Source organism: Homo sapiens, chromosome 5 (assembly GCF_000001405.40).
Source record: "Homo sapiens chromosome 5, GRCh38.p14 Primary Assembly".
NCBI lineage: Eukaryota > Metazoa > Chordata > Mammalia > Primates > Hominidae > Homo > Homo sapiens.
The window spans coordinates 172,938,153-172,953,013 of NC_000005.10; the positions used below are offsets into that span (position 1 = coordinate 172,938,153).

General features: G+C 51.9%; 1 protein-coding gene across 3 annotated transcripts in view, besides 1 other annotated feature; it reads left to right on the plus strand.

Moving 5' to 3' along the window:
• The window catches only part of ERGIC1 (endoplasmic reticulum-golgi intermediate compartment 1), a 118,433-nt gene extending 103,902 nt beyond the window's left edge, over positions 1–14,531 (plus strand). For all 3 annotated transcript variants that reach the window (NM_001031711.3, XM_011534597.2, XM_047417411.1), the window contains one exon: positions 12,557–14,531. In NM_001031711.3, the coding sequence (NP_001026881.1) occupies positions 12,557–12,664 (108 nt within the window). In that variant the 3' untranslated portion in view covers positions 12,665–14,531. The remainder of the gene's footprint in view (positions 1–12,556) is intronic.
• Positions 5,205–5,376: a silencer, noted in NCBI's record as "fragment chr5:172370360-172370531 (GRCh37/hg19 assembly coordinates)". NCBI's record gives its function as "represses an EF-1alpha promoter that drives an FKBP-Casp9 reporter gene in an ReSE screen in K562 erythroleukemia cells {active_cell/tissue: K562}" and the evidence as "EXISTENCE:reporter gene assay evidence [ECO:0000049][PMID:32094911]".
• Positions 14,532–14,861: the final 330 nt, after the last annotated feature.

The following is a 14,861-nucleotide window of genomic DNA, read 5'->3' on the forward strand; positions in this document are numbered from 1 at the left end:
TTTGTGAGCAAATGATTTAACCCAAGACCCCGCAGGGTAGCACACCCCAAGTGGGTCTTGGTGCTGATTCTTACTGCAGCTCTCCTACTCCACACCCACGATAAGCCACACACAAAGATACAAGTAGGTTCCCTGGTGCCTCCATGAAGGTCTAGACCACTCCTCAGAGGCCCTAGGGTCTGTACATTGACTATAGCAGAGAAACCCCCTCCAGCCATGCCTCACAGTAGGGTTCAGAAGGCTCTTTTCTGTCCCCGTTTCTGTTTGCTCCTGTATGGAAAGCAGCTGAGACTCTGGGCATTACAATCATTTGGCAATGGCCGGGCACGGTGGCTTATGCCTGTAATCCCAGCACTTTGGGAGGCCGAGGCGGGGGATCACTTGAGGTCAGGAGTTCAAGACCAGCCTGGCCAACATGGCAAAACCTCGTCTCTAGTTAAAATACAAAAATTAGCTGAGCATGGGGGTGGGCACTTGTAGTCCCAGCTACTCGGGAGGCTGAGGCCGGAGAATCCCTTGAAACCCAGAAGGCGGACGTTGCAGTGAGCTGAGCTGATGCCACTGCACTCCAGCCTGGGTACCAGAGCGAGACTCTATCTCAAAAAAAAAAAGAAAAAAAAAAAGAAATCGGCCGGGCACGGTGGCTCACGCCTGTAATCCCAACACTTTGGGAGGCTGAGGCGGGCGGATCACCAGGTCGGGAGTTTGAGACCAGCCTGACCAACATTGTGAAACCCCATCTCCACTAAAAGTACAAAAAATTAGCCGGGCATGGTGGCACATGCTTGTAGTCCCAGCTACTTGGGAGGGTGAGGCAGGAGAATTGCTTGAACCTGGCAGACAGAGGTTGCAGTGAGCCGAGATCACGCCACTGCACTCGGGTCTGGGCGATAGAGTGAGACTCCATCTCAAAAAAAAAAAGAAAAAAGAAATCACTTGGCAAGTGGCTGAGAAATGAAGCAACTTCATTTATTCACTTAACATTTGCTAGAATTCACTATGTTCCGGCCCCCGTAGCAGGCACCAGGGTCAGCTGAATCATACGCAGTCCCTGCCTTGAAGGAGCCCCCTGCTGGAGGGGCAGATGAGTGAGCACAGGGAGCTGTGACCGGCTCTAGTGGAGATGTGCGCCAGACACTGCAGGCAAACAAGAGGGCGCCATCCCCTTTGTTTGGGAAGCTCTAAGAATAGAACCCTGTGATGGGCCTTGAGCTGAGGAGGAAGGGCCCGGGAAAGGGAATGCTATGCGCAGAGGCGCCCAGTATAACATGTCGTATGAAGTCCATGCCACCCCCTTTGGCAGGTGACAAACTCCCCAGTGAGCCGCTGACCTTCTGAGAGCAGGAGGCTCCAAGAAGCCACGGGGAAGACCCTTCCTTCGTCAGAGACCCAATGCCTCTATGACTCCTCCTTCTCTTCCTGTCCTTGGCCACCAGCCTGTCCTCCATTTCTGCCCCATCCACCTCTGCTCAAGCGTGGGCTGGCAAAGCCCTGGGCTTGTGGGCCACACTGCTGCAGGGAACCTCCTGACATCATTAGCCTGGTGGTTCTTCTGAAGGCCCTGTGCCACCACCTTGGTTGCCATGGTAACCGTGGGGTCAGCTCTGAAGGAGCCAGCCGGCCGGCTGTCCCTGGCAGATGGCGTCATTGTGGAGCTTCAAAGGCCCTTGTCACAGGGCAGCAGATGTGGGGATGACGCCAGCACTCAGACACACACGTACACACACGGCACAAAGATCCCTGGGAGCCCTCGGAGGGCGGGGTGGGGCCAGGATGGAAGTGGAGGCACCTGCTGTGGCTTCTCTTTCTCTCTTTTTAAAAATCAAACACTTGCGTGCAAAGCCCCTAAACGGCAAATGGGGGCCTCTGCAAATAGCTCCTTAGAGGGGCTGCAGATGAAGAGGGGCTTAGGTCGGGATGTCGTCATGTGGCGGCTGCGGGGCTGGGAGGCAGCTGTGGGTGGGCTGGAGGGAGGGAGGGTAGAGGCAGATGGGGCCTCCCAGATGCATTGCCAAGTGTTTAGTACCTGGCTGCTTCCAGGTTGCCCCCTCCAGGGTCTCATTGTCCCAAAAGGGCTTGTTTATCCCTAGCCTACAACAGTTTTTCCTCCTGGAAGTCTTTAGCCAGGCTTCTTGGAGCTTCTCTCTCTCGGCACGTGGGGCACCTTGCTCAGAGCGATGCTCTGTGCTATATTAGAACATTCCAGCGCCAAGGGAATAAACAGATTGTGTTTGACGACATGCAAGTAATCCCCTCCAAAGTGCTCCCCTCCCACACACACATTTGTCCTGTGCCACTTGCTGTAGCTCCCTTTTTGAGATTGAGATTGCCTTCAAGTGGGTTGTGGTGACAGACTGGAGGGCTTCAGAGGTGTCAGATCTCTTTCCTTGCATGGTTTATTTTATTTTGGAGGAACAGCCAGAAGTCACAAAGTGCCAGTTGGGCCAGTATGACCGGGATGGTTTTTGCCCACCAAGAAGTACCGGATGGCGATGACACCCTCCCATTGCGTGCTACTCAAAACCTGTCATTCTTGGAGAGTTGCGCAGCTCCCTTAACTCAAGTGGTGCTCAGGGCCCTTGGCCAGGGCTTAACCTGGGTATGAGGGAGAGTTGCTACAGGGAGCCTCACCCACAGACGTTCCTCTCTGCTGCCCTCTTTCATGCTTTCTAACCTGGGGACTAATCCCCCAGACTTTAGATTGCCCTGCATGGTTGTCAGGCCTGATGATGACCTCCGCGTCTGACTTACCTGTGTCCCCAGCATCCAGTGAAGGGCCTGACCTGGACACAGGTGCTCAGAAATGTGTAAGAGGCAGCTGCCTAAAGAAGTGATCATATTTTCAGCTGGGCGCGGTGGCTTACACCTGTAATTCCAGCACTTTGGGAGGCCAAGGTGGGCAGATCTCCTGAGGCTAAGAGTTCAAGACCAGCCTGGCCAACATGGCGAAACTTTGTCTCTACTAAAAATACAAAAAATAGCCAGGTAGCACGCCTGTAGTCCCAGCTACTGTGGAGGCTGAGGCAGTTGGAGGCTGAGACAGGAGATCTTGGCAGTAAGCCAAGATCGTGCCACTGCACTCCAGCTCTGTCTCAAAAAAGAAAAAAAAAAAGGTGATCATATTTTCCCTAGCCAGACAGGATGAGGGAAAAAAGTGATCATATAGCTACCCTTATTAAGCACCTACTATGTGCCAAGTAATTACATAGTTACCTCTTTTAGCCCCCCCAGCAACCTCTCAAGGTAGATGATTTTGTTCCTGTTTTATAAATGGATTAAACTGAGGCTCAGAGAGGTGAAAAAACTCATCCAAGATCTCACAGCCAGTAAATGGCAAGGCTCGGACCTGACCCCAGTGCCTGCCTCTGCAACATCCCCTACCCCCAGCACTGTCTCAGGAGCCTCTATCTTCCAAAACAAGGGCTGTCAGGGGTGTTGCAGCAACAAAGCCCCCAGAAGTCATAGAACTCTTGGTAGGACAGACATCAGGATCATTTGATACAGTGACTTTCATCCTGAGAATCAGGAAGAACTATTAGAGCAGGAAACAAAGTTTTATTGTGAATATGCATGGTGAAATCACAGCTTCACACAAACCATTAAAAAAGCCGACGTCCATCTAAGGCAGATTGGCTGATAGTTTGCAAGTTTTCCTGCCCATATCTAACACCTTTTGTTCACCTGTTTAGGCTTCTGCAAACATTTGCCAGAAACTAAGGCAGCAAGTGCTGGGGGCAGGGAAGAGGGCAGGGGCATTAAGAAGAATTGACAAGGCCGGGCGCAGTGGCTCACGCCTGTAATCCCAGCACTTTGGGAGGCCGAGGTGGGCGGATCACAAGGTCAGGAGTTTGAGACCAGCCTAACATGGTGAAACCCCGTCTCTACTAAAAATACAAAACTTAGCCAGGCGTGGTGGTGCACACCTTTAATCTCAACTACGTGGGACGCTGAGGCAGGAGAATCGCTTGAACCAGGAGGTTGCAGTGAGCCGAGATCGTGCCATTGCACTCTAGCCTGGGCGACAGAGCAAGACTCCGTCTCAAAAAATAATAATAATAAAAAATAAAAAAAAGAATTGACAAGAGACAAACTTCAAACTGAGAAGGTTCTACCCACTAAGATGATGTGAGTTGGAAAAATGACCATCTTGGCCCTGGGGTGGCAGGAGAGCCTTCCCAGCTCCCATATGCCGCCTCGGTTCTCTCCTCTCTGCCCCCGCTACCCTGCTCAGGGTTCCCTCGGTGTCTCTCTTCCCTGGACCACAAGCACCAGGGAAGCTCCACGAGCTCCAGGTTTAGTCATCTCTGGTCTCCAGATCCAGTGCATCAATGTGGGTAATAAATAGGTGTCAAACAATGAGCACATAGAAGGAGAGGTGTACACCTTGGTCCACCCCCAACCAAGAAGATTTCTGTTATTGGAGGGACAGAACAGAACCCATATTAGGAGCTTGGTGATTCAGGTCTGGAAATGTGCAAAACGCTTCAGTTCAGATCCTTCCGTGGTATTCCAAGCTGAACTAGATCTTCAAGAAGGTGTTCCAGAGACAGATTGCTCCAAACTGGGTCTGTACAGAGAGGGGCCTCCTGGCGCGTGCGTTCCCAGAGCAGGTTCGGAGGCGGAAGAGGAACGTGAGACCGAGTGGGCTCCATTTTGCACACCAGGCTGGTTTTTATAGTTGCAGAGCTTCTGACTTCCAACACTTTGCTGACGGGGACCCCTTAGGTCAGGATATTTGCTACGTAAACCTTAACAGAATTGAGAAGACAGATTCCCTGCATGGAAGCTATCTGTACATGAAGAGAGGGGCTAGGAAGAGTCTTCCGGCTGGGAATGAGGGCAGGTGGGCTAACAGAAAAAGCAGGCCCTTTGCAGCCTCCCAAACCTGGCTTCTAGTGATCCTTGCTTACTCGGTAGCCCTGTGACTGTGGACAAGTCATTCCCTCTCTGACCCTCTGTGTCCTTGTCTGTGAAATGAGGGTCACCTAGCAGTGGCAAGGATTGAATGAGAAAAGAGGAGAAGGTGCCATCTCAGACCCAGCACATAATAGGTGCTCAACCAAAGTGAGGTTCTTGCGAGGTGGGGTGGATGGGTATTTTGCAGCCCATAGGAATTGTAAAAATGTCAGCGGGAGGCCTCTCCCCAGGCCCCCGGAGCTCTGGAAGGCCTGATACCACACGCTCTCCTCCCCCACCCCCAGCCTTTCCAGGGCCCAGTCAACCACTTCCCTTCCCCGACTACACCCCCCACCTCTGCCTCCTCCACGACTTTGGTGTTCTCATCCCCGGCTCCAGCCTGTCTGCCGCTGCTGGAGCCTGATGAGACTCCAATTCATTATTTATTTCCTCATGCGGCGCCTCCTCCACACGCTTTTAAAGCAGTGCTGACTGAACGGGGAAAGTGACTGAACAGTTCCTGGGCACTTAGGGTACAGCAGGCAGCTGGACAGTGTCATCCCGGTCCCTGCAGTGGGCCCCATTCTACAGATGGGGCAACTGAGGCTCAGAGAGGTAAACTGGCTTTCCCAGCCAGGGCCACAGAGCTGGGATTGGACCGCAGGAGTGTTTACTCCAAAGCCCACAATCTCGCCTCCCACGGCGGTGTGTATGGTGCTTCTCCATTGCACGCTATGGGAGAGTAATGGGGAGGGGAGTAATGATGCACTGGGAAGGCGTTCGTGCTGGTGGAAAAACAGGCATTTAGTTCCCGCTCCAGTGCGGCTGGAACACATCCTTCTCATATTATAAGGAATTAAGAACCATAATGAAAATGTAAGGGAAACACACACGCACCCCTTTTAAAGGTAGACAAGCTGACTTCATTCTAGTCACAGTGGAAGGCCAAGAAGCTGACGGGACCCCTGGGAGGAAGTTGCTGGTGGGAACAGAGGGGCATTATCGGATGACGTCTGATGAATGCCACTTCCTGCACTGCCCTCAGACTCACTGGGGCCCAGGTATTGAATTGTCCTTGTTTTTGTTTCTGGAGCTGTGGCTGCTGCCCAGAGCAGTGGTGCATGCACTGGCCGAGGTGGCCCTCCCTGGCTCAGTGACCCTGCTCCCTCATCCCCGACGGGGAAGATCCCACCCTAGGTTGTCTCTGAGCCTTGAGGCCTGGTTGGGAGATACAAGAGCGTGGCAGTGGCAAGGGACCAAGCCACTCTCAGTCAATGCCACCACAGTCCTAGGGGGTGAGGATTAGTCTTCCTTTTTTTTTTTTTCTGAGACGGAGTTTCACTCTTGTTGCCCAGGCTGGTGTGCAGTGGCACGATCTTGGCTCACTGCAACCTCCACCTTCTGAGTTCAAGCAATTCTCCTGCCTCAGCCTCCTGAGTAGCTAGGATTACAGGCACCTGCCACCACGCTCAGCTAATTTTTGTATTTTTAGTAGAGACAGGGTTTCGCCTTGTTGGCCAGGCTGGTCTCGAACTCCCCACCTCAGGTGATCCACCCACCTCGGCCTCCCAAAGTGCTGGGATTACAGGCGTGAGCCGCCGCACCCGGCCAGTCTTCCCATTTTTAAAAGCCAGAAAACTGAGGCACTGGGAGCTAGGGTGGCACAAGAGCACATGGATGAGAGGAGTCCAAGCCAATTCTGCCAGCCTCCAAAGCCCAGGCCCTCTATGGCATCGCTTTCCAGGTGCAGGGTCTCCAGGCACAGCAACTTAGTGGAGAGGGGCACCTGCTGCCTGCCCCATCCAGGGTCTCCCCCTCCAGGCCCACCTTTTCATCAGCACTGCCTTCCCCACGCCCCCGGCTGACACCCCTGAGCGAGTCACCTTTGCCGCTGCCTTGGGTGTGGAACCCTGTGCCTTTCCTGAGTAGTCATTCATTCCCTCACTCTGGAACCCACCCATTGGCTCCTCATTCTTTCTCTCACTCCTTTATTTATTCAACAAACACGTCTTGTGCACCTCCCATGTGGTCAGTTGTGTCTGCTATCTTCTCTCCCTTGGGCATTCAGGAAAATGAGAGTTTTCCCAATAGGCTTGAGGTGGTGAGATTCAGGGAGCTCCCTCACTGGCCAAAGGATGGAACCCACCTCTGGCCTAAGGTGCTTTGCCCCACAAGGATGTTCTTCATCACAAACACATCTTGGCAACTGCCTGAGGGAACAGGACACCCTGTCTGGGCCTCAGCTACCTGTTCTGTTGAATGGGTTGCTGTGTAACTTCAGAGGGCCCTTAGAGTGCGTGGGCCCCCAGCGGCCACAAAGAATCTGCCTGCGGTGCTGGGACACTCTTGCGGTCCTGTTCCTGTATGACTCGTCTTGCCTTCTGCTAAAAGTGCCAGAGAGAGAATGGAAGTTGAGACCCAAAGGCGTGCTCTGGGGAATAAGTAATATTTTACTGATTTTTCTGGTTAAAGTGGGTCTCAGGTTGAGACAATCCCATTTCTTGGCCATAAGGTTAGAGCCTTCCAGTGAACTGAAAGATTAAGATCAGGTTTCATTTACTGAGCATCTACTAGGTGCTAGGTGCTCCAGATGTATTTTCAGTAGAGCCGCAGGGGTTTTGTCGTTTTATTTTTATTTTTATGTATTTATTTTGGCAACAGAGTCTTGCTCTGTGACCTCGCCTGGAGTGCAGTGGCTGAATCTCGACTCACTGCAACCTCCACTTCCCAGGTTCAAGCAATTCTCATGCATCAGCCTCCCGAGTAGCTGGGATTACAGGCACCTGCCACCATGCCCAGCTAATTTTCGTATTTTCAGTAAAAACAGGGTTTCACCAAGTGACCAGGTTGGTCGCAATCTCCTGAGTTCACGTGATCCTCCTACCTTGGCCTCCCAAAGTGCAGGGGTTGCAGGCATGAGCCACTGCACCCGGCTGGCTTTCCTGTTTTATAGATGAAGAAACTGAGGCCCAGAAAGGCTCTCCCACGGCTAGAATTAGTAAGTGATGCCACGATGCAGCCTCCAAAGGCTGGGTGCTCTCTGCTGCCATGGCAGGAAAGCCGGGTGGACTCCCCAGCCCTCACCTCATGCCACCCTCACCATGTCCAGCAGGGAGGTGCACACCTCCCAGCCCCAGCTTTGTCCTGGACTCCCCTGGAGAGGCCCAGCTCTCCTCGCTCCTCTGTGTGAACAGCAACAGGCTGTGGGAACTAAGTGTCACGACTGCAATTTGCTTTCTTTTCAGTTTCATTCATTAGTGTTCCTCCCAGGCCCCATCCCCACAGCCCAGGGAAATGCCAATCAGCGTCTTCCCTCCTGCCAGCGGCACCCCTGCCCTCCCCTCCGTGAGTTCCTGAGATCCCGCCAGCATCTCCTCCAGCTTCAGAATATCTGCTGTTGGATCCCATTGTTCCCACATCATCCCAGGAATCCTAAATGGCAAAGCCTGTCATCTTGCTGCCGCCCATGTAGGGCCTGAATTCCAAGGCAGACACACCACCTGGCACAGCCTTGTGGCTGCATCTCCCCATGTTCCAGAAGGTATGGTGACCTTCTAAGACGAGGGACAGCCATGACCAGCCACTTCCCTGAGCGAGTTCAGGTGTGAGAACGCCCTGGCACTGGGCATTTCTGAATCTTTCCATATGTCAGAATCCAGGAAGTGCCAGTCCTGGGAGCACCAGAACCCTCTCCTGTGACTCTACGTCACCTCATGCCAGTCACCTCCTACTGACTGCCAGTGTGTCAGGGAGGCCTGAAGGATGAGAGATAAAATAATGAAAGCAGGGCCGTGGCAATGTGGGCCTGGCCACTAGAGTTCTCTCAGCATTTTTTTTTTTTTTAAGTCACGGGGCCAGGCATGGTGGCTCACACCTGTAATCCCACCACTTTGGGGAGGCCGAGGCAGGCAGATCACTTGAGGTCAGGGGTTCGAGACTATCCTGGCCAACATGGTAAAACCCAGTCTTTACTAAAAATACAAAAATTAGCTGGGCATGGTGGTGGGCACCTGTAATCCCAGCTACTTGGGAGGCTGAGGCAGGAGAATCACTTGAACTCAGGAGTGGAGGTTGCAGTGAGCCGAGGTCACCCCATTGCACTCCAATCTGGGCGACAAGAGTGAGACTCAATCTCAAAAAAAAAAAAAAAAAGAAAGACATGATCTTGCTCTGTCACCTAGGCTGGAGTGCAGTGGTGCAATCATAGCTCACTGCAGGCTTGACCTCCTGGGCTCAAATGATCCTCAGCCTCAGCCTCCAGAGTAGCTGGGACTACAGCCACCACACCTGTCCAATTTTTTTATTTTTTGTAGAGATGGGGATCTCACTGTTTTGCCCAGGATGGGCTCAAGCTCCTGGACTCAAGCAACCCTTCCATCTCCCGAAGTGCTGAGATGACAGGCATGAGCCACTGTGCCCAGCTGAGTTATCTCAGCTTTGAGGAAACCCCCCTGGAATGTGTGAGGATTTCCCCTCCCCTCACCTCCTCAAGTGAACAGTGACCAGCCCCTTCAACAGATGCGGGGTGATGGGGGCACGTTGAGCAAAATCAGTAGATACTCATAGGTAGTCTGCCTCAGGGTTCCCCCTTAGCCTTCAGGCTTGCAGTCACTCACCCTGTGACTGAGCCAGTTGCATAGCAGTTTCCATGCCCCAGGGCCTCAGTTTCCCCTCAGGCGATGTGCTTTCCTGTGTACCTCAATACACACATTGTCTCCCTCTGGTCTGGGCCAGCCCCATGAAAGGAGAGTTGAGACTGGGTGCCAGGTGTCTGTGAGTCATAAGCATTTGGGTTCCAAATTGTGTGTAGATGAATACAGATGTGTTTTGTGTGTGTGTGTGTGTGTGTGTGTGTGTGTGTGTGGTTATTTTTTATTTTTTGCTTCATTGCACGTAAGTCACATTTTCCTATCTTCTGATCCAAGCTCTAAAAGCGTTTTGTGGTATAAAATCTCCCATCATCTGATCCACTCTACCGAAATAAACCAGCTCCCCTGCCGTCATCTTCCCTGAAAAGTCCCCCTGCGTCATGTTCTGAGGCCGGCAGGGAGGGGCCTTGCCCACTTAAAACACTTCACCATAATCCCCCCAGCGCCCCCAGTCCTCTCCACTCCCTGGGGGGCCGCTCCGGTTTCCTGGGCTGTTATTACTGGAGGACCAGCTGCTACCCTGCCACCCATCCATACAGACCTGGTCTGTCCATCCTGGGCCTCACAGGCCCCCGCTTAGCTCATCTCATGGAAATATCATTTAAAAAAATAAACACTGGTTTGATTCGCACTTCCCTCTCGCCTTTGCTATGTCTCCCAGCCTCCCACCACTGGGCACCAGTTCATCTATTAAGGTGTTCTTGGCTCCCAGAGTTCCCCACAGGTTGCAGGTCAGTAGCTGGCCGTCCACCTGTGGTGCCTCTGGGGCTGCTAATGTCCTCTGGGGCCACACAACTGTTTATTTCTTCTGAGTCCTGTGGTCATTTAAATGCCCCTTAAATGTGGCATGGGGGAAAGAGTGAGTGCCACATGCACTGTGTGACCTCGGACAAGTTACTTCCCTCTCTGTACCCCATGGGTACCTCAGTGAAGAGGCATCTCCTTCATGGGCTGTAGGGCTCCTGCTGCTCCGAGGCCTATGGCTGCTCCTAGGATGGGAGGTGTTGGTTCTTATAAATGACATAAAGTAGATGCTCAAGAGGAAAATATGCTTAAAGTTTTCTTGCAAGGTCTGGAACAGTGGTTCATGCCTGTAATCCTAGCACTTTGGGGGGCTGAGACAGATGGATCACTTGAGTCCAGGAGTTCGAGACCAGCCTGGGCAACATAGCGAGACCTCACCTCTACAAATTAAAAATTAAAAAAAATTAGCCAGGCATGGTGGCATCACCTGTAATCCTGGCTACCCCGGAGGCTGAGGCAGGAGAATCACTTGAACCTGGGAGTTGGGGTCTGTGGTGAGCTATGATCACCCACTACACTGCAGCCTGGGTGACAGAGTGAGACCCTGTCCCTACAAATAAGTTTCCTTGCAAACCTTCTGTGAACTTCATTTGTCTTCCATCATCCATGCTTTGATTCTCTGAAGTCATCAGAAGGCAATTTGTAGGCCATAACATTTTGAGTAAAACATAACATTAGTTTGATTAGTCCCAAATGGTGTTCTGACAACTGCAAAGCTTTGTGATTCAATCAGGTGGGTGTTTTGTGCCTGAGAAGCAACAGGGTGTCACATTAAGAGCACAGACTCCAAAGTTTTGAACCCCTATTCAGCCACTTGCTGTGGCATTGGACGAGGGATTCAGGGTCTCTGTGCCTCAGTTTCCTTGGCTGTGAAATAGTCTAAGAATAGTACCTACTGCCTAGGGTTGAGCTGGGGATTCACTGGGGTGGTAGGCATGGAGCACTGTAACCCACCTGGCCCAGGGAAGGTGCTGTGTAAGTACTGTGTATTTTGTTGTGGTTAGTATATTATGATGTGGCAGACAGTTATGAAGTACAGACATAACAGGTGACATTCATTATCCTCCTGCTACCGCCATTCTCAACCAGGGGCAATTTTGACATCTGGGGACATTTGGCAATGTTTGGAGACATTGTGGTTGTCACAGCGTGGCGGGGGGGGGTATGATTGGCATCTCCTGGGTAGAGGCCAGGGATGCTAAATCCTTCTGCAAAGGACAGCCCCTGTGGCAAAAAATTCTCTGGCCCCAAATGTCAATGGTGCCATTAGAAACCTTGCCCTGGCCAGGCACAGTGGCTCATGCTTGTAATCCCAGCACTTTGGGAGGCCGAGGCGGGTGGAGCACGAGGTCAGGAGATCAAGACCATCCTGGCTAACACGGTGAAACACCCCCACCCTGTCTCTACTAAAAATACAAAAAATTAGCCAGGCGCGGTGGCAGGCAGCTGTAGTCCCAGCTACTCGGGAGGCTGAGGCAGGAGAATGCCGTGAACCCGGGAGGCGGAGCTTGCAGTGAGCTGAGATCACGCCACTGCACTCCAGCCTGGAAGACAGAAAAAAAAGAAAAAGAAAAAGAAACCTTGCTCTAATAGAAGCTTTCTGGTAGCACCAAAGGCCTCTCTGTCCTTTGTAGCACTTGCCTTGGCTATAATTTTGCATTTATTGGTATGATTATTTGCTTACTACCCATCAAGTCCCAGGATGCCATTTCTTGGCTGTGTGACCTTGGGCCCCTGGGACTGCCTTTCAGAACCTCCATTTCCTTCATCTGCAAATGGGATTGTAAATATGTGATAAATTCAGAGTTGAGGTTAAGACCACAGGCTCCAGAGTTAAGACGTACCTGTGTTCAAGTTGCATCTCTGCTAGTGGTGAACTTAGGCAAGTCACCTGATGAACCTCAGTTTCCTCCGCTGTGAAATGGGTCTAATAATTCCCTTCCTCATTCAGAGGGTGAATATGGGAATTAAAGGAGCTCATAATGGTGAAAATTATTTTATTATTATTAAATCCACCATCCAACAACTGGTTTTCTTTGAGCCCTAAGTATGTTCCGGACTTGGTGACTATGTAGTGGGTATTATGGGCTTAACGGGCAATGTCTGCCTTGCAGAGCCCATCATCTCATGATGTGGGAGGGGTCTGGCCTGGTTCATCCTCCAGCACTGACTTCTGACACTCCCACCCCACCCCTGCCCTCTTGCAGATCTGTGCCATCATTGGCGGGACCTTCACCGTCGCCGGCATCCTGGACTCATGCATCTTCACAGCCTCTGAGGCCTGGAAGAAGATCCAGCTGGGCAAGATGCATTGACGCCACACCCAGCCTAATGGCCGAGGACCCTGGGCATCGCCAGCCTTGCCTCCAGTGCCCTGTCTCCTTTGGCCCTCAATCTGGTCCCAAATCTGGCTGTGTCCCAAAGGGTGTGTGGGAAGTGGGGGGAAAGTAGAGGATGGCTCGATGTTTTGCAGCTACCTCTTTTCCCCGTGTTTCTTTTTAGACAAATTACACTGCCTGAAGTTGCAGTTCCCCTTTCCCTGGGGAGCCCCAAGAACAGAGTCAGGCAAGGGGTGGGGAGTCCAGGGATCTTGGGGACCCCTCCTAGGAGAGCTGCAGTCTCTTCCCTCAGGGGAACATCCCAGAATGCATATCGATCAGCTCTCAGCCAGGCTTCGACAATCTCGCAGCCCCCACTAGGTGGACACATTAATGATTTGGTTTCTCCCCTGGGCAGCCAACCTGCCCCAGAGGCACCAGACCTGGGCTTTCAGCTTTGGGACCAGGCTGCCCAAAGGTACTCCTTTATACACCCGGCACCTTCCACGAAAGATGGTACTTCCCAAGCAAGCCCCTATGATTTGTCACTATAGATGGAACCCTGACTTCTGCCCCATCCCTTCCTGCCCAACCTAGAACCCAGGCCTCAAGTCTTTACCCCACCCCTTTCTTGTTCTTCCAAGAAGCAGATGCCCAGTTGCTCAGCAGCAGCGGTAGAGACTTGAATCTGCCCACCAGTCACAAGGCGGGTCACAGATTCCTCTTCCTCTCTTCTCCTCGTTCCTCTGAACCCTCCACCAATGTGCCTCAGCCTGTGTGCTGTGTGGCAACAGCATTCTGGTTCCCACTGCCAAGATCTCCCACCACTCTGCTGGGATCTGCAGTGGCAGGGAGTGGGGGTTGTGTAAAGGGGAAGTCATCTTTTGAGATCCAGATAGACATGGTTTGTGCACTTACGTCCAGATGGGAAGCATCCTTCCTGCAACCCTAAAATAATCATGCAGCCTCTCAGACGGACGCCATCGGTCCCAAGGCCTTAGGTGGAGGAAGCAAAGCAGGCCAGGCCTGTCCTGTCCGTGGACCTCTACCTTCTGGACTCCCTACGGGTGCAGAGCACTTGGGTTTCTCTACAGCCATCGTGGCCCACTTGACACTGTGCTCCTCCATCAGCTGGTCACATGCCAACACGTTCCCAGCCCCTGAGGCAGCTCCAGGGTGCCCCACCTGCTCCTGAGGTGGGTCCCTACCCTGCTGCTCCTCTTCATCCTTTCCCTTTTGTCCTGAAAGGGAGGAGCAATGGTCCAGGCATTAATTCCACCCAGGGAATTTTAGCTATGCCCTCATGTCCCAGGGAGAGAGCCACACGCCTGTTTTCCATTTATAGCAAGATTGTTTGCATACTTTTGTAATGAAGGGGAGTGTCCAGTGGAAGGATTTTTAAAATTATCTTATGGATAGCTCAAGTCTCTGCCATTTGTAATTTTTGGCTCTAAGCTCCGATTGGAGACGCTTCTCCTTGTGCATGTGAGTTGACTGATGTTGTGAGTGTAAATGCATTTGGTTATTTCTGGTATCGGTGGCCACTTGGATGGATTTTTTTACATTCTGTTCCCCAGTTACAGGAAGGAGTCCCTTTGGTGTGTGAATATGTGTGCCTGTAGAGGGTGGGGCAGGGTGGGGTGGGGATGGAAATGTGTGGCATGCACATGAGTTGAAATTCTTTTATGCATTTTTTTGAAGAAAAAAAAAAAAACAACTCTGAGGACATAGGGGATGTCAGTTTCCTATGGAAGAGACACCTCTGACCCGTTATTCTTATAATCAAAATCTGAAGGGAAAAAAATGTTTTAGTTCTTTCCCCACTCGTTGGGTTCAACTAGATTAAAAGGCTGATTTTCAGAAATATTATGGTGTGATTCTTTCTACCTTGACTGGGGCTGGGTGACCCAAAGGCTGGAATCACAGCCAGAATGGAATTCACTTCTAGAGGAGAGAAGGTAGAAGAGTTGAAAAGGAGATCTGTGAGGATGATCAGAAAGTCAAACCCCGGCCAGGCACGGTGGCTCACGCCTGTAATCCCAGCACTTTGGGAGGCCGAGGTGGGCCAATCAGGAGGTCAGGAGATCGAGACCATCCTGGCTAACATGGAGAAACCCCGTCTCTACTAAAAATACAAAAAATGAGCCAGGTGTGGTGGCGGGCGCCTGTAGTCCCAGCTACTCCAGAGGCTGAG